The sequence below is a fragment of the Homo sapiens genome, chromosome 7 (assembly GCF_000001405.40).
Source record: "Homo sapiens chromosome 7, GRCh38.p14 Primary Assembly".
In the NCBI taxonomy this organism is placed as follows: domain Eukaryota; kingdom Metazoa; phylum Chordata; class Mammalia; order Primates; family Hominidae; genus Homo; species Homo sapiens.
The window spans coordinates 153,978,231-154,002,279 of NC_000007.14; the positions used below are offsets into that span (position 1 = coordinate 153,978,231).

The 24,049-nt window shown below is 43.3% G+C and overlaps 1 protein-coding gene across 8 annotated transcripts in view, besides 1 other annotated feature; it reads left to right on the forward strand.

The window, feature by feature from the left end:
* Nucleotides 1-24,049, forward strand: part of DPP6 (dipeptidyl peptidase like 6) — a 1,146,153-nt gene that overhangs the window by 230,098 nt on the left and 892,006 nt on the right. The gene's annotated exons all lie outside the window — the stretch shown is intronic.
* Nucleotides 10,767-11,267: an enhancer, noted in NCBI's record as "H3K4me1 hESC enhancer chr7:153686082-153686582 (GRCh37/hg19 assembly coordinates)". NCBI's record gives its function as "activates a minimal SCP1, AML or CMV promoter by ChIP-STARR-seq in primed H9 embryonic stem cells {active_cell/tissue: H9 hESC(primed)}" and the evidence as "EXISTENCE:reporter gene assay evidence [ECO:0000049][PMID:30033119]".

The window sequence follows — 24,049 nt, forward strand, 5'->3', positions numbered from 1 at the left end:
TTAATGATCGCCATTTTAACTGGTGTGAGATGGTATCTCATTGTGGTTTTGATTTGTATTTCTCTAATGACCAGTGATGGTGAGATTTTTTTCATATGTTTGTTGGCTGCATAAATGTCTTCGTTTGAAAAGTGTCTGTTCATATCCTTTGCCCACTTTTTGATGGGGTTGTTTTTTTCTTGTAAATTTGTTTAGGTTCCTTGTAGATTCTGGATATTAGCCCTTTGTCAGATGGATAGATTGCAAAAATTTTCTCCCTGTTCACTCTGATGGTAGTTGTTTTTTGTTTTGCTTTGTTTTGTTTTTGCTGTGCAGAAGCTCTTTAATTAGATCCCATTTGTCAATTTTGGCTTTTGTTGCAATTGCTTTTGGCGTTTTAGTCAGGAAGACTTTGCCCATGACTATGTCATGAATGGTATTGCCTAGGTTTTCTTCTAGGGTTTTTATGGTTTTAGGTCTTACATTTAAATCTTTATCTTAAGTTAATTTTTGTATAAAGTGTAAGGAAAACGTCCAGTTTCAGTTTTCTGCATATGGCTAGACAGTTTTCCCAACACCATTTATTAAATAGGTAATCGTTTCCCCATTGCTTGTTTTTGTTAGGTTTGTCAAAGATCAGATGGTTGTAGTTGTGCAGTGTTACTTCTGAGGCCTCTGTTCTGCTTCATTGGTTGATATATCTGTTTTGGTAACAGTACCGTGCTGTTTTGGTTACTGTAGCCTTATAGTTTGAAGTCAGGTACCATGATGCCTCCAGCTTTATTCTTTTTGCTTAGGATTGTCTTGGCTATATGGGCTCTTTTTTCGGTTCCATATGAAATTTAAAGTAGTTTTTTCTAATTCTGTGAAGAAAGTCAGTGGTAGCTTGATGGGGATGGCATTGAATCTATAAATTACTTTGGGCAGTATGGCCATTTTCACAATATTGATTCTTCTTATCCATGACTATGGAATGTTTTTCCATTTGTTTGTGTCCTCTCTTATTTCCTTGAGAAGTGGTTTGTAGTTCTCCTTGAAGAGGTCCTTCACACCCCTTGTCAGTTGGATTCCTAGGTATTTTATTCTCTTTGAAGCAATTGTGAATGGGAGTTCACTCATGATTTGGCTCTCTGTTTGTCTATTATTGGTGTATAGGAATGCTTGTGCATTTTTGCACATTGATTTTTGTATCCTGAGACTTTGCTGAAGTTGCTTATCAGCTTAAGGAGTTTTTGGGCTGAGGCAATGGGATTTTCTAAATATACAGTCATGTCATCTGCAAACAGATAATTTGACTTCCTCTCTTCCTAATTGAATATGCTTTATTTCTTTCTCTTGCCTGATTGCCCTGGCAAGAACTCCCAATACTATGTTGAATAGGAGTGGTGAGAGAGGGCATCCTTGTCTTGTGCCAGTTTTCAAAGGGAATGTTTCCAGCTTTTGCCCATTCAGTGTGATATTGGCTGTGGGTTTGTCATAAATAGCTCTTATTATTTTGAGATACGTCCCATCAATACCTAGTTTATTGAGTGTTTTTAGCATGAGGGGGTGTTGAATTTTATCAAAGGCCTTTTCTGCATCTATTGAGATAATCATGTGGTTTTTGTCACTGATTCTGTTTATGTGATGTATTATGTTTATTGATTTGCATGTGTTGAACCACCCTTACATCCCAGAGTTGAAGCCGAGTTGATCATGGTGGATAAGCTTTTTGATCTGCTGCTGTATTCAGTTTGCCAGTATTTTATTGAGGATTTTTGCATCAATGTTCATCAGGGATATTGGCCTGAAATTTTCTTTTTTAGTTGTGTCTCTGCTAGGTTTTGGTATCAGGATGATGCTGGCCTCAAAAATGAGTTAGGGAGGATTCCCTCTTTTTCTATTGTTTGGAATAGTTTTAGAAGGAATGGTACCAGCTCCTCTTTGTACCTCTGGTAGAATTTGGCTGTGAATCCGTCTGGTCCTGGGCTTTTTTTTGGTTGGTAGGCTATTAATTACTGTATCAATTTCCGAACTTGTTATTAGTCTATTCAGGGATTTGACTTCTTCGTGGTTTAGTCTTGGGAGGGTGTATGTGTCCAGGAATTTATCCATTTCTTCCAGATTTTCTAGTTTATTTGCATAGAGGTGTTTATAATATTCTCTGATGGTAGTGTGTATTTTGTGTGGGATCAGTGTTGATATCCCCTTTATCATTTTCTATTGTGTCTATTTGATTCTTTTTTCTTTTCTTCTTTATTAGTCTGGTTAGTGGTCTATCTATTTTGTTAATCTTTTAAAAAAAACCAGCTCCTGGATTCATTGATTTTTGAAGGGTTTTTTGTGTGTCTATCTCCTTCAGTTCTGCTCTGATCTTAATTATTTACTGTCTTCTGCTAGCTTTTGAATGTATTTGCTCTTGCTTTTCTAGTTCTTTTGATTGTGAAGTTAGGGTGTCAACCTTAGACCTTTCTTGCTTTCTCATGTGGGTGTTTAGTGCCATAAATGTCCGTCTAAATACTGCTTTAGCTTTGTCCCAGGGATTCTGGTACATTGTGCCTTTGTTCTCATTGGTTTCAAAGAACTTACTTATTTCTGCCTTAATTTCATTATTTACCCAGTAGTCATTCAGGAGCAGGTTGTTCAGTTTCCATGTAGTTGTGCAGTTTTGAGTGAGTGTCTTAATCCTGAGTTCTAATTTGATTGTGCCGTGGTCTGAGAGACTGTTCGCTTTAATTTCCGTTCTTTTGCATTTGCTGAGGAGCGTTTTACTCCAATTATGTGGTCAATTTTAGAATAAGTGCTATGTAGTGCTGAGAAGAATGTATATTCTGTTGATTTGGGGTGGAGAGTTCTGTAGATGCCTATTAAGTCCACTTGGTCCAGAGCTGAGTTCAAGTCCTGAATATCCTTGTTAATTTTATGTCTCCTTCATCTGTCTAATATTGACAGTGAGATGTTGAAGTATCCCACTATTATTGTGTGGGAGTCTAAGTCTCTTTGTAGTTCTCTAAGAACTTGCTTTATGAATCTGGGTGCTCCTGTATTGGGTGCATACATATTTAGGATAGTTAGCTCTTCTTGTTGCATTGATCCCTTTACCATTATGTAATGCCCTTCCTTGTCTTTTTTGACTTTTATTGGTTTAAAGTCTGTTTTATCAGAGACTACTGCAAGCCCTGCTTTTTTTACTTTCTATTTACTTGGTTAATTTTCCTCCATCCCTTTATTTTAAGCCTATGTGTGTCTCTGCATGTGAAGTGGGTCTCCTGAATACAGCATACCAGTGGGTCTTGACTCTTTATCCAATTTGCCAGTTTGTATCTTTTAATTGGGGCATTTAGTGCATTTACATTTAAGGTTAATACTGTTATGTGTGAATTTGATCCTGTTGTTATGATGGTAGCTGGTTACTTTGCTCATTAGTTGATGCAGTTTCTTCATAGTGTCGATGGTCTTTACATTTTGGTATGTTTTTGCAGTGGCTGTTACTAGTTTTCCCTTTCCATATTTAGTGCTTCCTTGAGGAGCTCTTTTAGGGAAGGCCTGGTGGTGACAAAATCTCTCAGCATTTGCTTGTCTGTAAAGGATTTTATTTCTCCTTTGCTTACAAAGCTTAGTTTGGCAGGATATGAAATTCTGGGTTGAATTTTTTTTTTTTTAAGAATGTTGACTATTGGCCCCCACTCTCTTCTGGCTTGTAGGGTTTCTGCAGAGAGATCCGCTGTTAGTCTGATGGGCTTTCCTTTGTAGGTAACCTGACCTTTCTCTCTGGCTGCCCTTAACATTTTTTCCTTCATTTCAACCTTGGTGAATCTGACGATTATGTATCTTGGGGTTGCCCTTCTTGAGGAGTATCTTTGTGGTGTTCTCTGTATTTCCTGAATTTGAATGTTGGCCTGCCTTGCTAGGTTGGGGAAGTTCTTCTGGATAATATCCTGAAGTGTGTTTTCCAACTTGGTTCCATTCTTCCTGTCACTTTCAGGTACACCAATCAAACGTATGTTTGGTCTTTCCACATAGTCCCATATTTCTTGGAGGTTTTGTTCGTTTCTTTTCATTCTTTTTTCTCTAATCTTGTCTTCATTCTTTATTTCATTAAGTTGATCTTCAATCTCTGATACCCCTTCTTCTGCTTGATTGCTTCAGCTATTGATACTTGTATATGCTTCACAAAGTTCTTGTGCTGTGTTTTTCAGCTCCATCAGGTCATTTATGTTCTTCTCTAAACTGGTTATTCTAGTTAGCAGTTCCTATAACTTTTTATCAAAGTTCTTAGCTTCCTTGCATTGGGTTAGAACATGCTCCTTTAGCTCAGAGGATTTTGTTATTATCCACCTTCTGAAGCCTACTGTCAATTTGTCAAACTCATTCTCCATCCAGTTTTGTTCCCTTGCTGGTGAGGAGTTGTGATCCTTTGGAGGAGAAGAGGAATTCCGGTTTTTGGAATTTTCAGCCTTTTCGCGCTGGTTTTTCCTCCTCTTCATGGATTTCTCTACCTTTGGTATTTGATGTTGGTGACCTTCAGTTGGGGTTTTTGCGTTGTCGTCCTTTTTGTTTATGTCGATGCTATTCCTTTCTGTTTGTTAGTTTTTCTTCTAACAGTCAGTCACCTCTTCTGCAGGTCTGCTGGAGTTTGCTGGAGGTCCACTCCAGACCCTGTTTGCCTGGGTATCACCAGTGAAGGCTGCAGAACAGCAAAGATTGCTGCCTGCTTCTTCTTCTGGAAGCTTGGTCCCAGAGGGGCACCCACCAGATGCCAGTCAGAGCTCTCCTGTATGAGGTGTCTATCGACCTCTGCTGGGAGGTGTCTCCCCGTCAGGAGGTACGGGGGTGAGGGACCCACTTGATGAGGCAGTCTGTCCCTTAGCAGAGCTTGAGCGCTGTGCTGGGAGATCCACTGCTGTCTTCAGAGCCAGCAGGCAGGAACGTTTAATTCTGCTGAAGCTGCGCCCACAGCCGCCCCTTCCCAAAGGTGCTGTGTCTCAGGGAGATGGGAGTTTTATCTATATGCCCCTGACTGGGGCTGCTGCCTTTCTTTCAGAGATGCCCTGCCCAGAGAGAAGGAATCTAGAGAGGCAGTCTGGCTGCAGTGGCTTGGCCGTGCTGCCATGGGCTCCGCCCAGTCTGAGCTTCCCTGTGGCTTTGTTTACACTGTGAGGGGAAAACCACGTACTCAAGCCTCAGTAATGGCGATCACCCCTCCCCTGACCAAGCTTGAGCATCCCAGGTCAACTTCAGACGGCTGTGCTGGCAGCCAGAACTTTAAGCCAGTAGATCTTAGCTTATTGGGCTCCATGGAGATGGGCTCCGCTGAGCAAGACCACTTGGCTCCCTGGCCTCAGCCTCCTTTCCAGGTGAGTGAACAGTTCTGTCTCACTGGTGTTCCAGGAAGCACTGGGGTATGATAAAAAACTCCTCCAGCTAGCTTGGTGTCTGCCCAAATGGCCACCCAGTTTTGTGCTTGAAAGCCAGGGACCTGGTGATATAGGCACCCAAGGGAATCTCCTGGTCTGTGGGTTGTGAAGACCGTGGGAAAAGCCTAGTATTGGGCTGGATAGCATTGTCCCTCACGGCACAGTCCCTCATGGCTTCCCTTGGCCAGGGGAGGGAGTTCCGTGACCCCTTGTGCTTCCTGAGTGAGGTGATGCCCCACCCTGCTTCTGCTCACCCTCCATGGGCTGCACCCACTGTCTAACCAGTCCCAGTGAGACGGACTGTGTACCTCAGTTGGAAATGCAGAAATCACCCACCTTCTGCATTGGTCTCGCTGGGAGCTGCAGATCGGAGCTGTTCCTATTTGGCCATTTTGGCCAGGAATCCTCCTTACAGATGCTGTTTATTCTAACAACCATTCTGTCCATAACACACACACACACACACACACACACACACACACACACACACACACACACGTGTCACAAGTGAAATTTTGGGCAAGTCATTAGATGTCTTTGAATATCACTCACACAGCAAATTTGTGGGTATCCCAGGATTAGAAACAATTTATCTCAATTGTTAGGTCAGAGCTATTTCTCCTTATGTCTGTGATTTCTATCTAATGTGTATATTAATATAAGAATTTCAGAAATTATGCAGTAATTTAAAAGTTCAAGAAACCTTTATTGCAAACACCTCCTTCTGCATTTCACAGGAGGGCCTAAAGAAAAACTTTTTCATAGAAACATGTACACAAGACAATATTACCAGAAATCAACCCCCAAAATGAAGGCATCAGGGGGCACGAAGAAGAGACTTAACAAACTTTTTTTCTTCCCTTGCAAATTCTGGTATCCTAAGAAGCAGTCTGAATGATTTGTGCATGAAACTGCCTTGGAGCAGGTGCAACTTCAGGGGGAATTCTCTTATTTTTATTGCATAAAAAATGAATCCTATGGAAATACAGACTCCTGTTCTGCTGAGTTTTGCATTCGCATAGCTGAATTAGGAGAGGGAGATCCAGACAGTACAGTGTACTGATACCATTTGAAATATCCCCACTTGTTCTTCATGAATTCCCCCATGAGGTTGTCATCATTTAATTCAATTTAATCTTTAAAATTCAAACTCTTTTGAAACTTTTTATATGTGGAGTGCTCTGATCTCATTTTTGGCTTCTATGACACTTTTCCCTTAAAAGCAAAGCTGTGATCTGTGGCGAGGAAGTTTGAGTGGTGCATCTTCCAGTCTCATCTCTGCCATTTGTTCCAGTGTCTAGGAGGAAAGAATCTTTGCACTATGCATATTCAGTGCACTAGGGATAAAGTGGCCAATGTGTCTTCATTCCCCAAGCTAGAATGGTCCTTCATTTATCGGCCAGCCTTTGCTGAACACACAGGTCCTGCCATTCACTGTACAAGGGAAAGATAGAGATTAAGATCCAGGCAGGTCCCTGCTCGCAGTGCTGACTGAGTACTGTACCTATTTGCCCATGTGATGTGTCTTTCTATTTTCCAATGAGAGTGGAGGTCCATGTTTTAAGACTACTTTGCCTCCCATTGACTGAGGATTGGGATTAGATCTTTGATTGGGCTAGAGGGAGAGGTGAGACACTTTGAAGGGGTACAGAAATAATCTGTGGAGGGAGAGGAATCAAGAGGGACTGGACAAAGTTGTGTCTTTATCTTCTGGTCCCCAGATTCACCACTCCCCTAAGAGCAACAGCACTAGCTCACAGCTTTAGCATGACATCCTCTGTAGCTTTACTCACAGTGGGACCAGTTCTGTCACAGTAGGAAGAAATTCTGTCAAGGACTAATGTCATTGCTCCCCGGGTGGCCCAAGGCATCCCCAGCTGATCATGTGACCAGCCAGCCTCCCATTCTTCCAGGTCAGAGAGAAATGATCTACTTTTTTATCTTGGTGTGGTGGATGGGACTAAGGAAAGAAAGAGTTGGGGTTTGTCATATTATTTCTTTACTTTGTACTCAGTAGATTATATTGACAGGCATTGAGTAAATCCAGTGGAAACATGAACTCTCCATACTGTAGTAGACATTGAATAATTTGAGCAGAATAACAGAGAGAAAAGGAAAATGACTAAATAACATTTTAGGAAATAAGCTACATTTCCTAGACGTGGGATTTGGCAATTTGGGATGGATGGAGAAATGAACTTTGTGTATCTCTCTGAAACAGGTGAAATTGACATTCTGGAACAAAAATCTAACTATGAAAAAGAAAACTCTTTATTTCAAATCTATACTTGGGCAACAGTTTGGGGCCAGGAGGAATAAAAGACCTTAACAGGTCCTCTGTAGCCCTCTCTGACTTCTAGGCGTCTGAGTAATCACAGACACCCACACATTGTTTTAAAACCCTCCAGAGAGAGAAAGGGAGAAAAAATGTCTTTGATAAGATCAGGTGCGTTCAGGGTCGTATGGCTGTAGACAGAAAAATGTTTTTGTTTCCACTGGTTACACATTCTGATGTCCGACCTACATCCCTTCTGATGAAATTCAAACCAAACCCTTTTCTTTCCCAGTCCCCATTGGAAACAGAAAATAGATATGCATTTTTCACACTTTAAAGAACTCATCATGTAAAAAAATTGCTTTTTAACACATTTCATGCCATCATGTCTTCCTTGGAAATTTTCAGTGCCTTTTTTTCTATTTGTCTAAGTAGAGAAGCTATCTTTCTATTTTTTTTATGGCTTCTTCTGAACTCCTACCGAGACCTGTTCATCTCACATCTTCAGGCCCCAAATTGGATACACAATTTTTAATTAAGATGTGATCCAGCGAAGTATTTGCTTAGATCTTACAGATCTGGAAAAAAATGCCCTTAAGAAAAGACTAGGCAAATAGAAATAATATAATCTCCTTGCCTCAGTCCAAACTTGAAGGACTCATTAGAGGATGCATGCAAGTAGGGACCAGAGGACCATGAAAATCCTGCTGGGATTGAGCGTGATTTCTGCTGAGATCACTGAGATGCCACAACATTGAATGCTGAAAGTTTTAGCAGGAATCGTTGGTGAACTTTTCCTTTGGAATTCCGCAAGTGCTTCTTGTTACAGGCATAGACAAATGTATACTAAAAATTACATGTATAATTTAAATTTCAGCAAGAAATACTGTTGACTTCTTATGAGGAAAACCAGGCAAGTGATTTGTAAACTCTTGAAGCAAGAAATGTTGATGTCTTCTCCATCTCTTTATCCTGTAGAGCACGTTGCACTGAGATGGCCCCAGAAGTAGATACTGAGAAAGTTCTAGTTGAATCATTTAATTTGAATGAAGCTGTGAGATAAAAGGAAAAAAAAGAGGCTACTTATAAAATAAATTTATAGTATGGTCACATTATCCAGAGTAAGGTTAGTTCGGTTTGGTTTGAATTGTTTCATTTTTAGCCAGGCACAGACTGCTCAGAAAGTAAGCATTTAAAAATTTGTCGAGATGTTATTTATTATTTGGTAAAAGTTGCAATGCACCAAGATGTAAGATTTTACACCCCTGAGTTTTATGGCATCACCCTTGCTAATTTATTCATGATTAAACCAAAGAACTCTCAATGAGGAGAAGTAGATTGCAATATAAATTGGTGTCATTGTTTGTAAATGTGCTCCACTAAGCATATATACTGCTCCACTAAGACAGCTTCTAGTACCATGCCTGGGGCTTCAATGCAATTTGCTTACGTTGAATCACTGGCTCCCAGACTCCCCTTGTGAACTGAACAGGCTTAGAAAATCATTCTAAAGAATGCATGGTTTGTGTAGTTGTAGAACGAAACTTCTCTTGGAAGCTTATTCCCCCTCACCAGGGAAGGAGTTAGTGGGAGATTCTCAATCTGGTCTGCAGATGAGTGCCTTCTAGGTAATTCACACATATAATTTACAGAAGTGGGAAGAAATGAATTCAAACCATTTTTTTTTTTCCCTCAGAAAACTAAATGTCAATCTCATTCCATTTCCGTTGGACGGGGAAATTGACGTAGGAGCAGCGTGAGGTAGAGTGGCATGCTGACCATAACTAGGGTCAGTCACCATCGGAGGACCCAGCAGAGAGCTGTGGGGTGCTGCAGCTGGGGAGGACTTTCTCCATCTGTTTCCCCTTGGTACCATTGATTTGTTGTCTGATTTAAATATAGAGTTCAGTATGCAGGTGTGTAAGTGCAGCATAAATAAAATGGCATCCTCCTTCACAGCCAAGGGGCCTTCGTCTGGGAAACTGATATAATTTATGAGAGCGAGGCAGCAGCATAAATACGTGGGGTGCTTTGTCACCGGCCAGTATGGAATTGGTCAGCTTGGAGGAGGGGAAACAGAGTCAGGGGGAAGACAGCATGCCAGGAGGAGCTAAATTGGGGCACCAGGACCTGAACCCTGGAAGCCAGTCCCTAAACAACCAGAGCTGCTCAGCAACTGCTCTCTAATTACCCTTTGTCCCTGGAGAATTCCAGAGGGGATGGGATTGCCTCAGTGAACTTAATCTTAGATGGGTGGCTGTCCTCCTTCTTTTTTTCCCTTGACGGAGGAGGGAGGGAGGGCGTCGAGGGTGATGCATCAAACTGAGGGTGACAAGAAGCTGGCGCCTTTTGCTCCACTTCCCAGCCAGGAGGGCTGACAGTGCTGGAGTGGACCAGTCCGCGGAGCTCCGGGGGTCTGAATGCTCCAGGGGTGTGTGGATGGCAATGGCCAGGATGGCCCTCCTGGTTGCGACCCATCAGAAAGTGGATACCACTGTCCTCTGGTTTGCCTGCTGTGCTGGTAAGGTGTGGTGACGTGTGTGTGCCTGTGTGTGTGCAAAGGGCAAAGAGATGGACAGTGTTACCATTATTCATTTGGAATTAGAATTGTGGAGGCTTGCACATTTGTTTGTCTTCCAAGTTCTGGCCTCACCCACCCTTTTTTGAGGGAGAGAGGGGCCAGGAAGGAGGCCGTTCCCAGCCCCATGAGTCAAGGAGGGCATCGGGGGATGCTCCCACTGAGGAAGCTCAGAGCGGGGCCCGGAGAAAGGGGTGCTCCAAGCGGTGCTTCCTGGTCGATGGCACGTCGGGGTGGGCAGGCTGGAGTTGAAGAGCTTCTCAGCGTGGATAGGAAATCATGGAAATGAGGAATGATCTAGCCTCCAGCAGTGAGTCGGAGGAATAAATGAATCCCGGAAATGCAGTTTCTGTGAACTCCAGATTGCTATGGAGATTGCATTGCTTTCCCAAGACTTAAAAAACGAAGAGTCAGCGAAAGCTGGGAGAGCGGTGATGTATGGAAGTCAGGCGGGCCAGCGCGCCGGGAGTGGTGGGAAGGGGGCTTCGCAGGTCATTACACGGGGATTTCTCCGCGCAGAAAAAGGGATTAGCGTTTTCACCTGGTGGGGATTTCATGAGCTTTTCCCTGGCCTGCTCTTCCCCTGCCCTTTCCCAGAGAGCCCAGCTTCAGGGACAGCGCCCGCGAGGTGCTGCTGGGGTGGCGGGGCTTGTGGGCGGAGGAGGGCGGCTCTCTGGTGTGCAGCACCGGGTGTGAGTGTGGGTGAGCGTGTGCGGGAGAGGGTGTGAGTGTGAGTGGGTGGGTGGGTGTGAAAATGGGAGAAAGTGTGAGCGTGTCACAGTGTGTGTCACTGAGTGGGCGAGTGAGAAAGTGGGTGAATGTGTGCGTGACTGTGCAAGTGTGTGAGTGTGGGGAGTAAGATTTGTGTGAGTGTGAGTGTGCAAGTGTGTGAGTGTGGGGGAGTGAGTATGGGGAGGAGTGAGAGTTGTGTGATTGTGTGTACACACACGTGTGCACACAGGGCGGGCCGCGCTTGGCATTTGAGGAGGGGCTCGGAGGTCCTCCTGGGCTGGCCGCTGTCCTGGGAGCAGGGCACCAGGGCACCCTGCGAGTTTTCACCTTGCCAAGGTATGCCAGAAGCCGGACTCCAGCTTCCTTGCCAACGTGTGCGGGAAGCAGGACCCCAGCTGCGGTCCAGGGAGGAAAAGGGGGGTGCTCACAGCTGGGGCGAGTCCCTGGAGCCCACAGGCAGTGACTTGCCCCAGAATGAGCTTGAGAGAGTCTGGGGATGGAGAACACTGGGGATGCTTGGTGTGGTGCAGAGGTAGGAGGATGTGGATGCCTGTGAGGTACTGGTGCGAGGTTTGCCACGTGTTATCCCTGCATGAGAGAGCGTGGACCACTGTTTTAGGCCAGGATAGGGACAGCATGTCCAATTACACAGGGCTCTGCCCACCTGCAAGATGCAAGGAGGCCCTGTCTCCAATGTCCCCTGACCTGACAGTCCTGCCACCTGCCAGCCTCGCAGTGGCCAGCCCCGCCCCCAGCAAGCCCCACCCCTAAGAGCCACACCCCCAACAGCTCACCCCCCTGCCAGCCTTGCCCTCAGTCCTGCCCCCTGCCGGCCTTGCCTCTGCCAGCCAGAGCCAGTCCCCCAGCAAGCCCCGCCCCCTGCTGGCTCTGGCCCTTCTAAGCCCCACCCTCAGGCAGTCCCGCCCCCTGCCAGCCCCACCACTGATCATCCCCGCCCTCAGACAGTTTTGCCCCTTGCCAGCTGGAGGTGGGCCTCCTCCAGCCAGAGTGAATCTCTTAGTAAGCCCCACCCTCTTCCAGCCCCACCCTCAGGCAGCCCCACCTGCTTCCAGCCTTGCTGAACAGTCCCGCCCCTGCCACCCACATGGGTTCCTGGGTCTTGCCCCTGACTACCAGGGTGACCCCAATGCCTCCGAGACATCCTTCTGCCCTAGAACAGCCAGGAGAGCAGAGAGAACAATTTAAATGCTCAGAAAGACAACTCTTTCTTACTGTTTTTGCTTTGCCCAGGGAATTGCAATCAGTTTCAATACACAGTTAATAAAATGAGAGGCATTCAGCGTGGATGTGGGTGTCAAGGGAGAGGGCTCAGGCTTGCTTTTGCCTTTTAGTACCAGTTCCTATTGTTTGGAAAACACGAGGTGGCTTCCGAGAACAGGTCTTGGCCCTCGCCTGCCCTGGAGCCCCCTGTCCAAGGGCCGCCGTGCCTCACAGGCAGGTGCATTGCTCTTGTTTTAATGGTGGCCTTCATGGCAGTGGGACCCCTCCCTCCATGACTGTCCCCAGGTATTGCCTATGGTGTTATAGTGTGGGGGCCTCAGGGAAGGGTAGGTGACCTGTCCACATTTAACATAATTGTAAAGCTCATTGAAGAAAAGAGGACGAAGGAGTGACGTCCAAGTTTATTGAGCTTTAGGAAGAGAACGGCCAGATTTCGTTTTGAGATTTTCTCTTATTTGCTGGAAGTCTGTTCAAATCATATGTCTCTTCTGGGTTATTAAACGGTCAAGGTTGTTTCTGGATCCCCACAAAAATGTGAGGATACAAAGTCCCCTTGGGATGTGCAGTGGTACCCATAGTCCTCGTGGTTAGAGGATAAAGGGGTCCCTAGAATGATGGAGTAATAAGGGCAAGGTGTTTGGAAGCAAATGCCGAGAAGAAATGCTCCCTTATGCCGTAAAGGCCAGGAGACTGTGGTCGTCAGGCTGAGTGGATGGATGGGAAAGGAGGAAGTAAAGAGCACACACCGGCTTTTGGAAGCAGATAGCTCATAGCATTTGAAGAGGGCATTGCCATGACTCTGGCCTGCCTCTCTCATTGGGGAATCAAATATTAAAAAAAAAATACTTATATATCTTTTAGAGTGATCTTCTTTGGTAATTTTTAGTATATAAAAAAGAAAAATAGGGAAGAAACCTTCAAGTTTCTACTTACATTTCCTGAATTAAATAGTTTACATCCATAGAAGAAAATAAATATTCATGCAAAGCTATACAAATTCCTTTGTAGGTTTTTAGTAACTATTCTAACAGAAATGTATTTGTAGCTAAAAAATGAAGTGTTAAGCATGTTTTAAAAACGGAGCATTGATTTTCTACAGCAGGGATATTTAGAGTCTTCTTTCCCCTGGTTACACTCATGTGCATTTGCTTAAATCCAGTGGCCTCTGGCTGCACCTGCCTTTGCATCATGACTTTGTCCAATCCTGCATGTGTTAATTTAGGGCCCAAGGGACCAGTCTGGAGCACGCAGCCATCCTGAGTAATTCACAGTCCATTAGACAGCGGTCTGTGGGGTATGTGCTGAGTCCACACACTGATGTTCCAGGAGGTTCTTGCAACTTCCCCACCTTGCAGCTGCCTCTCCAGCACCTTACTCTCAGTCCTTCCCCACAACTACTCTCCATCTTTAACTTATTACACTCCCTGTCTTAGTCCCTTTGTGTTGCTATAATAAAATACCTGAGTCTGGATAATTTATAAAGCACAGAAATTTGTTTTCTCTCAGTCCTGGGGTCTGGAAAGTCTGAGGTCGAAGTGCTGGCATCTGGCAAGGGCCATCTTGCTGTGTCCTCCATGGCAGAAGGTGGAAGAGAACGAACCTTCTCCTGCAACCCCATTTTTTTAATACATTAAATGCATTTATAAGGGTGGAGCCTCATGATTTGAACACCTCCCAAAAGGCCCCACCCCCCAAACACTGTTGCATTGGGGATTAAGTTTCCAGCACATAAATTTTGGGGGGCACATTCAGACCATAGTACCTCCCAAATCTATAAGGCCACCTCTACTTTGCTCTCAGCTCTATCTGTTCATTTGCAATTGTCTTTTAAACCCCACTTAAATGTCCTATCACATTTTATCAACAATAACTTACTTCACTGGGCTTCCTTACACACACTAGTTCCTATTCCTGACTTCTGATTTTTATTAATATCCCTGTTCTTCTAGTTATCCATCTTTGACACTTATAATATCTCTTTCATTTACTACATATAGTAAAGTGACCACATTTTGACAATTCTTTCTCCAGTGTAAGTGTGGTGTCCTATAACTAATGCCCTTTTCTTCCTATAGCCATCACTTGCATCCTCCATGATTGGAACAGTCCCCTGGTGTGCCCCACACCTGCTGTTCTCCTCTCCAGCATCTAATCCGTCCTACCCACTGCCATCAGATCACTATGGAGAGCCCAGGCCTAATCATGTCAATTCCAGGCTATCAGATGTTCATTGTCAGTTTAATCACAGAATTGGCTGAAGTCCTTTATGCTCTAATTATTCCATCATCCTCACCCTCTTCTCCTACATGCAATTGACACTATGACTAAATGGGGTACTTGCTCTTCCTCCAAAAAAGCTCTAAACGTTTTTGTTTCCTTGCTTCTGTAAGGCAGTTCCTCACCCTATAAGGGGCCCATTCTGTCCCTGAAATTCTCATCCCTCATATTTATCTCTTGAAATACTGTCCATTATTTAAAATACAGGTCCCATACCTTCTTTTTCACAAGATTTTCCAATTTTCTTAACTTGAAGTCATAGCTCTCTCCCCCTACCTCCTCCTTCCCCGGTATACTTGGTAATTCTATATTCACATTATTCACACACATGCATCCAAACATTTTTCTTATCCTTCTACTAAATATGAAATATCATAAGTAGAAGCCACTCCTGCTTCACGGCAGCAGTCTCCTACATAACCACAGAGTTTAGACTTCACTAAAATGTAAGCTTTGTTTTTGTCAAGGTTGTATCTGAATCAGTGTCTATATCAGGGCCTGTAACCTAGCAGGGGTTTCAAGAGTGCTGATGCAATGAACAGATGAATGAACTCTTGTGAAGCAATAGATCTAGCACCCAGATTGATCCCGTCTTCTTACAAACACATCTTTAGGCTGTCCCCCTGTGTCTTCTTCAAAGTTGACACTGATATTCGTTTAAATTTTATTTCACCTGAATAAAAAAATATAGTGTGAGAATGATCTGCTGAGAGCCCAGCTCTCCTTAAAAAACTCTGCCTCAAAGATACTTTAAATTATATTCTTGATGAAATTTGTATTCTTCGTGATGTATCAACCTCGGCAGCAAATGACAACAAACCACAGCTGGTTACTGTTTGAACCCAAGGTTGTAAACCAAAGAGTGTGTGTGCATTTCTCCCCACCCTACCCCATACAACCTACTTCATCCTCATGCATGTGTAGATAACAGGTCAACCAAGGCTAGAAATCATAATGGGTGTGAGTTCTGGTTCCAGAGTTATATCACCTCAATGATCTTATTCATTTCATTCCTCTACCCTTGCTTGAGTAAAGCTAATCATTTTCTCATCTTCCCCAGATCTCTTTGGGGTTCTAAACCAAGCTGAAAAGTAGACCACAGTTAATACGCCCTCTTTCCCAGCCACCCAGTACATCTCCTGTCTTTAGCCAGGGAAGCACCTGTATGCCCCAATTCTGGCCAATCTTGGCTAAGGTGCCAACTCTAACGATTCTAGAAGCTGTTGGTTAAGTGTGTTGCCTGATCAGGGATACTTCCTTACAATGAGGGAGTTATGAAGAAGCTATTGGATCAATAAGCTAATATTATAGAATTACACTATCCAGTACTAGATCTGGAAGCAACCTTATAGGTACATATTCTAACTCCTTTTATAAGTGAATTAAGTGACCTCTCTGGTTGAGTGATATAAGATCTAGTCCAGGCTGTGCCACTAACTCCCAATTCATGTGTATTTCACCATACCATCTGCCTTTCCTCTAGAGTCTCCAAAGAACAAAGCTACAATGAGGGAATAAAAAAGTAGAATTCACAATGTTAAGAAGGCAGTTCTCTCAAACCATACCACGTAACAGCAACTCCTCTGCCTAGCCATGGTGCCAACCCCATCAATTTTCAATAAAACTTCACCTGTAATATTCAAGGAGTAGTGGAGTACGTGATAATGCACTAGATTTAAAGTTACCCAAGGGCTAATTTTTAAAAAATCATTTTTCATATCCAATATTAAATTGGTTGTTAGTTCTTTTCTATATGTCTGTGATAACCTTTGTGCCCTGGTTAGCAGGGTCTAGAAAGAGCCATCCATCTCAACAACAGTGGATTTAGACTTGCAGGAAACATACAGCTTGAGTGATTTGGCTGTATCTTTAATGATTCCTGAACATCTGCCAGAAAGAAGTTGCTCATTTCAAGTAAGTCAGTGATTTAAACTTATTTTTCTGTTTTGTTTCTTTCTATTAAAAGTTTCTCCTAAAATTTTAATTTCATGAGAAATTCTGATTAGTTGGGAAGTAATTTTTTTTAGTTATAATACAAGTCAAAATTAATATTGACTTAAGGTATAAATTAAGTTTACTCTTGTAGTGCCTATGAAAGACTAAAATTATGCTGTTCATAAAATGTCCCTACAGATAAGTTTCACTTAACTGGTTTTAGAAGATGCTTTTGGGCCTTTTTATTTGCCCTAAGCAGACATTTGGACTCCCTTAGGTGAAATATGCTCCAGCATTAGACTGCTTTATTTACTTTGAGTTTGTCTTCTCAATATGTGATTTTTAGAAACTTCAAAAGTACAATGTCTTTTACATTTATAAGTAAATAATTGAGGGACCAGCCTGCCTGGAGCAAAGGAATCAGAAAACAAGAAATCTCAGAATGACTGGTGACATGGAGTCTGTGCTTCACTGCAGTTGCTAGAAGTAAACCACAGATTGAGCTCTGAGCTTCCTAATAGCCATGGCAAGGAGGGAAAGCCATTGAGGTGCTATTCACAGTAGCCACTGATAAAAACAAAGCAGCCATTCACTAGCCATTTCCTGCTAGTGAAACATAAGGACAGTTTATCCCATGAGTTCTTTTAAGAAGGAATGAAGGGCTGGGCGCGGTGGCTTATGCCTGTAATCCCAGCACTTTGGGAGGCCGAGGCGGGTGGATCACAAGGTCAGGAGGTCGAGACCATCCTGGCTAACACGGTGAAACCCCGTCTCTACTAAAAATACAAAAAATTAGCCAGGGGTGGTGGCGGATGCCTGTAGTCTCAGCTACTTGGAGAGAGGCTGAGGCAGGAGAATGGCGTGAACCCAGGAGGCAGAGCTTGCAGTAAGCGGAGATAGCACCACTGCAGTATGGCCCAGGTGAAAGAGTGAGACTCCGTCTCAAAAAAAAAAAAAAAAAAAAGAATGAAGAAGGCAGATGCAATGTGACAGAGATTTACTAGATGATGTGCTCGATAACACCCTTCAACTAGAAAAAAAAATTAGCTTCTCTTAGAATGTGCTATCGGCATATATTGGCATACAGTAATTAAGTGTAATTGAGAAAAGGTAATTCTGAGAGGGAATAAAAGCACCAGATGGGAGATACGGCATTCACTCTTACCTAAGTCCTACCTACCTTCAAGACCTGGATGAAACATCACTTCCTCCAAGGAGTCGTTGACAGACTTAGGCCACAGTGATCATTGCTGCTTCCAAACATCTATGGCATTTGTTGACCAAGCTATTTATGTTATACTATAAGGAAGCGTTGACAAAAACGTGGCAGTTTTGGTATCTGGGCAACATTCCGCAGGGGCTAGGATTGTGTCATTTATTGTAGTAAATCCAATGTCTCATTCATTTCCTGTCACCCAGTAGGCCCTCAGGTTTGTTGCCATGGATGAGTTAACAGATGGCACTGACTCTTGGTGGCACTGGAGACTGCAGCCATCAGATGATGTTTCAAGAGACACTCCACTGTGATGACACATCCTGAAGACAGGGAAACTAATGTCCTTTGAGAAGTACAAATGTCTATTTTTATTTCACGTAGTATTGGCTTGAAAAGATACAAATTCACTTAGGATGAAATAAAAGTGTTCTGTATTTGAACTTTATTTCAAATTATTATTTCTTGGAGGTTTTTATTAGGCAACCAGTTCCTCCTGTCTTAGAAAGATGTAGGGACGGAGAAGTTCTAAAAATTCTGGGCCTATCCTTCAAGGTTCAATCTCATAGTTTCTTCCTCAGGAAAACCTCCTCTGGCCATCCTAGCAGATAGACATGGCACTTCCATGTCTGTCCAATTCCCCCAAAACATGACCTAAGGCTCATCTGGAATAAGCAATCTTCTTCTGTGTAAATATTTTATAACTATAGCCTATTATAAACTATTTGTTTAGAAAAAAGACTGGAAAAGTACACACCAGAATGTAGGGTGTGTATTTTCCCTTCAAACTCATTTACCTTTGCAGCCCTCTTGAATAATGTCCTTCCAAGCCTTTTGAATAACTTTTATGTTGTTGAATATTTAAATCGTCTCCAATAGTGGTAATTTTTACAGTCTACAAACAACAAAAGGTAATTCAATGTCAAGAACAATTAATAAGATAGATATTCAGAGTGGTTGATATGGTGAGATGAGGTTTGGTTTCCAAAAAATGGTTGTTCTAAAAGGAAACCAATCATGTCTATGTATGTTATATGAATGTTGAGCTCTGTTTGGAGTTACCCCCATCATGAAGGTGCCCTCAACCATAGCAGTGTCACTAAAATAAATGACAAGGCAATTTTTTGGAAGGTAATATTGTCTCTGAATTAAAAAAATGGAAAATCTTTATGCCTCTCTCTCTCTCTCTCTCTCCATCCAATGACACTAATGACTACTTCAGGATGTCTGAATATTGTACTTGCTTATATATGTTCACTGCAACCACCATGGCAATGAAACATGACAGGTCCTATAGTGGAAATCATGGCGTGGTCCTCCAAGGTTAAATTGGAGGGAAACCCCACCATGAAATGCAGTGGCTAGATGCTAGATCTTCACTCCACTCCCCACTCACCAGCACTGCTTCTGGCTTTGGGATTGAGCTTCCTTCTGGGTGAAGCTCAGAAGAGCTCAAACTTTTCTGAGCCAAGGTCAAGCTGGGAACCTTGTTACGCTATTTTATTTTTAAATATTCACTTCCCATTATGTCTGAGTCTTCAGCCACATCTTGTTTATCTGGTGAACGAGTAAATAACACACAGTTTCTATGTCAGTTTCATTCATCCCATGTTTTATTGAGCACCTGCTGTAAGCCAGGCATTCACCTGGTGATCACTTAAGGCCCATCTCCTTGCTTCCAGCTTGCTTCCCTATAATAGAGGATTTTTTTATTCTCTTTGAGTATGAGTGCACAGCACACACACACACACACACACACCTGTTTTGTATTCAAACTGAGAATGCTCATTTATACACAGCTCTCCTCTTAAGCACACAAAAATTAAGGCATCCAACAATCAGATAAGGCAAATGCATTTATCAAGCATCCAGCGACAAAAAGCTCCTAGACGTCTACTACATGCAGCACTGCTGTTCGGGTGCTGGGGTTATAGCAGGCTACAAGGGAGGCAGGTCTGCGTTCATGCCACCTACATTTTAATAAGAGGAGAAAAGAATAGAGAAGCACTGGGCAGCTGCTGAGGAGTGCTAAGGAGAAAAATCAAGGGAGGAACAAAGAGTGATGAGGAGTGTTGATTTCAGAAGTGAGATCATGGAAGGTCGCCCTGTTGAAGGGACATGTGAAAGAGAACCTGAAGAAAGGTCCAGCACCATCAGGATGTCTCCACGAAGGTGACAGTGTCTTGTCTAGGTCTGCCTTGCCACCGAGTCACCGACTGTGAGAATTGGAAGGAATATCAGCATCCTTCATTTAACAGTTAGGAAAATAAGACCAAAAAGAGGTTACAGTCCAAGTTCAGCTTCACAAAGACGTATCTCTAGATAGAAGGGAAAAAAAGGAGAGCAAGAAAATGTTAAAAGTTGACTATGCTTAGAAACTGCCAAAAATATTTAACAAAATGTGCCAGAACTAGCTGAAAAATAAGTTCCTGAATATTCAATCAAATATTCTATATTTAATTTCATGGTATAAGAATGCAGTAATCGAATAAATCCTTGCTCTTCTCAGCAACCACTTACATTGTTTTATAAAGTTGATCCACATCCTATCTTTAGGTTGTAGAAAAGGATGCTGGGGGAGCTGTCATCCCAGACCCTTAAATGTAGTTAATCCCCTGGTACCAAGCAAAGCTCAGAATCTTCAGGACATCTGCCTCTACTACCTTATGCTAGACCTTAGTATCTAGGGAGAATGACAGCAACATCGTGGTCATGGTTCTGAGGAAAGCAGTGGAATGCACATCAGAGGAAACCAACTAAACACTCACCTGTAATGAGATGGGAAGTGATTACACTATTTTTCTTCATGGTATTTATAGTTTTAAGGAACAGCTCCCTGTAAGTGACATCTACCCACTGCCCTTTATCCTCCTATTAAAGCTTTTGTAACAGATGGTGTTTATAGAATTGGCTACTCTGACTGTTAGCACTGTGAAGACATGAGTCTATGAAGAATGTACCCCAATTTTCATTACACCCCAGACTAAAGTGCTAAGTAGTGATCTTTTGAATGAATGGAATCCCATTGATAGAGAGTCAATTATGCCTTTGCATTAACACACATCATCTTTTGTTCATTAACTCAGAAACTAGAGTGAGCTGGCAGCCTGAGAGCCAAAGAGCTTCTGTGAGACTCTCAAGTGACTTAACGTGGCTGGCCGATGACTGATTCCTTCCAGGTGAAGCGCTAAGCCCCATCATGCCCCTGTTCAGCTATGGCAGGGTTCCAAGTGGGCAGCCCAGCTCTCCTCTGGGAGGAGCATTGGGCACCACTTGAGTTGAGTTTGTCCAGGACCTGAGCTGTATTGTTCTGTGATGTGGGACAATCTTCTCGAGCAGTATCAATGCTTCTGAGTCACAAGGGTCAAAAGAGAGTTATTTCCCTGGGGCTACAACTTTCTGAGTTTGCACAACTTCCAGATGCAGAATTAATTTCCTGAGGTCATCTGCAGCATGGTGCAGATAGGTCACTTACCCTGCAAGCAGTATGGAAACCTGATATCTAGAATTGTTGACTATTCTGTGAAACTTGTTTCTCATATCTTATTTCTTCATAATATCTTGCCCCATCACATCTTCAAGGCTTTGTTTGACCTTATGGGCACTGAGTAACTTTTTCCTTTTCTGAATGCATTTGGCGTTTACTGTTGAAATCTATGGCTTCTTTAGTGAGTACTTGCCGAGTGCTCACTGTGTTCCTTTGAATGGAGGTAGAGTCCTATGAAGGATAAGTCCTTAAGGCAGGGGCTATTTTTATAGTTTAGTATCTATCTTTAACTTCAGTTTGGCTGGAGAACTAAGATACATTAAAAGAAACTTGGCAGTGGGGGGTGGCTCACGCCTATAATCCCAGCATTTTGGGAGACCAAGGCAAGTGGATCGCCTGAGCTCAAGAGTTTGAGACTAGCCTGGGCAACATGGTGAGATGCTGTCTCTATTAAAAATATAAAAATTAGCTGGGCATGGTGGTATGTGCCTGTTGTCCCAGCTAATTTGGAGGGTGAGGTGGTAGGATTGCTTGAGCCCGGGGAGGGGGAGGTTACAGTGAGCCAAGATCGCACCACTGCACTCCAGCCTGGGTGACAAAGTGAGACCCCCATCTCAAAGAAAGAAAGAAAGAAAGAAAAAAAAAACTCAAGCTCCTCAAAGGTGGAAAATTTATATATAAGATAGCTGGAAAAATAAGACTAAGTAAATTTGCTTTGTAATGTTTACAATACCGTATGTGTTTAGTGTCTGGATGAAGAATGAATAGGTTCCGGGCATGATAATATTTTCTTTGAGCACAAATATGTTTTATGATTGTCAGAACCAGTGTGGAAAATTACTAAAGAAACTAAATATTCTTTTGCAAATGCACAGTATTTTGACATTTTCATTTCAAATCAAGATGCTGGAATAAGGATTCCCCCAAAACCTGTAAAACTCAGCGCAGATCCCAGCAATAGATGGGGTTGTGTGTCCTTGCTAGCTCATTGCGGATTGGGGGCCAGCTGCACTGAGGATGGCCTTAGCTCCCTGTCTGCTGAGAGCAGGATGAAATCAATGACTGACTGATGTCTCCTAAGTGCCTGATATATGGTTGCTGATGCAGAGAGGTTCTGGTGACAGCCCACACTGAGGGATGCTTATGGAGGGCCCAAGTAGGCGAGAGAATGCACCCTGCGTATGTATGTGGAAGCCAAGGATCCAGCTGGCAAGTTGGCACCAGCCAGGCTGAGTACAGAGGTTCCAGTCTCTACATCAGAAGAGCCGAGTTTCCTGACCTAGAGAAGTTATTTTGGCTTTCAAGTTTTCATCTTTAATAAGAAGGGTTTGGAATAAAAGAAGGAATACTGACAATAGCTGACGTTTCCTGGATACTTATGGGTGCCAGCTGCTCTTCTTCGCGTATTCATCTGTGCAATCCAAACAGCACTCTATGGCTAGAGGCCACTGCGACCTCTCTTTTCTAGGCATAAACCTGAGTCCCTGGCCCAGGGTCACAGCTGGCAGGCTGGGCACTGACGGACTCCAGGCTTTAAGTCACATTGCTACACTGTACTCAGGGTATCTGCCGCCCGGGCCCAGACCCAGAGATCCACCCTAAGGGCGAGGATAAGGAGACAGAGGACAGGCAGATGACAAGGTGGGGGCAGTTCTCATGAAGGGTTTCCTTCTTGGACACTGATTTCTTCCCAGGATGCCTGAGGATGCTGACCAGCTCCTTCCATCCCTGTCCTCCTCACCTCTTTCCACATCCCCTGCAGATCAGCCCAGCAGTGAGGCACAGCCTAGGGTCGGATGTCCCATAGATCATCATGGAAGCTCAGAAGCAATCCGTTCTTCATTTTAGAGGCTCCTCTCCGTCAAGATTCTGGAAACACAGGAGAACACTGTGACCTTTCTCAGAGGATGTTTTCCTAACATGCCTGGGAGGAAGACTTGAATGGTGGTGTGAAAATGTCTTTTCATGCCCTAATCAATAGCCCATCAATTATGTATGTACTTATGTATGTAAACCCTGTTACCATCCTGTGGAGAGGATAGGACTTGGTGATGTCCAACTATTGAGCTCTTTCTTCAAAGTCTTAAAGGAAGTTCAGTACATAAAACCATGGCAGCGGGTTGGCTCTGGCAGAGTGGAGTCAGTCAGACATCTGGAGCGCTGTCCTCACTCTGCCTCCCCACCCTCGGGCATGCTTGTTGGAACTGACAGCTCCACTGCTGGCAGTTTATAAATCTTTCCAGTGTTTTCATTGAGGGTTGTCAAAATGTTAAGGCATATTAGGCCATCATGGAGCAAGGTAACCTCCAAGGCCTTTACCTCTTCTAAATAATGCTTTATTCTCTTTTCTTCTGGTCATGAAGATACAGTTGGAAATTCCTACAGATTGGCTTTGCTTGAAAGGCTATTGTAGACCATTAATGGGCGAAATCCCTGTATTTGAAATTGTAAGATGCAATGAGGGAAGGCAATCCACGTGATTTCCTTGTGTTCCCCTAGTGGAGTGAAAACAGATACTGACGATTGTTTCCTCATTCCTGGTGGCATCTTGAGATGGTTTGGTAACATCCAAGCTGTGCAGATGTTACCACGGAGCATGGAGGCTTTTCTGAACTCCTACAGGTTTCATTGTCTGTGCCACTTTTTGGTACTTACCATTTACGTATTTGAACTGTGTATTGTTTCACAGGTGTGTGTTTTCCAAGTTGCCACTCTACCAACCCTTTTTGTATATTCCTGAGTTCAAAAAGCACTTTAAGGAAACAAACTGACAAAAACATGCAGTTTAAGAGGAGGAAACAGGAAGATGGCTCACATGTAGCTTGAGTGAACAATCACATTTAGCACAGTGCAGGCTTTCAGTCTTTTCATGTCATGCGTATTTTTGTATCCTACGGACAATGAGCCTTGACTGCTTTTTTAGGCCTCTTACCAG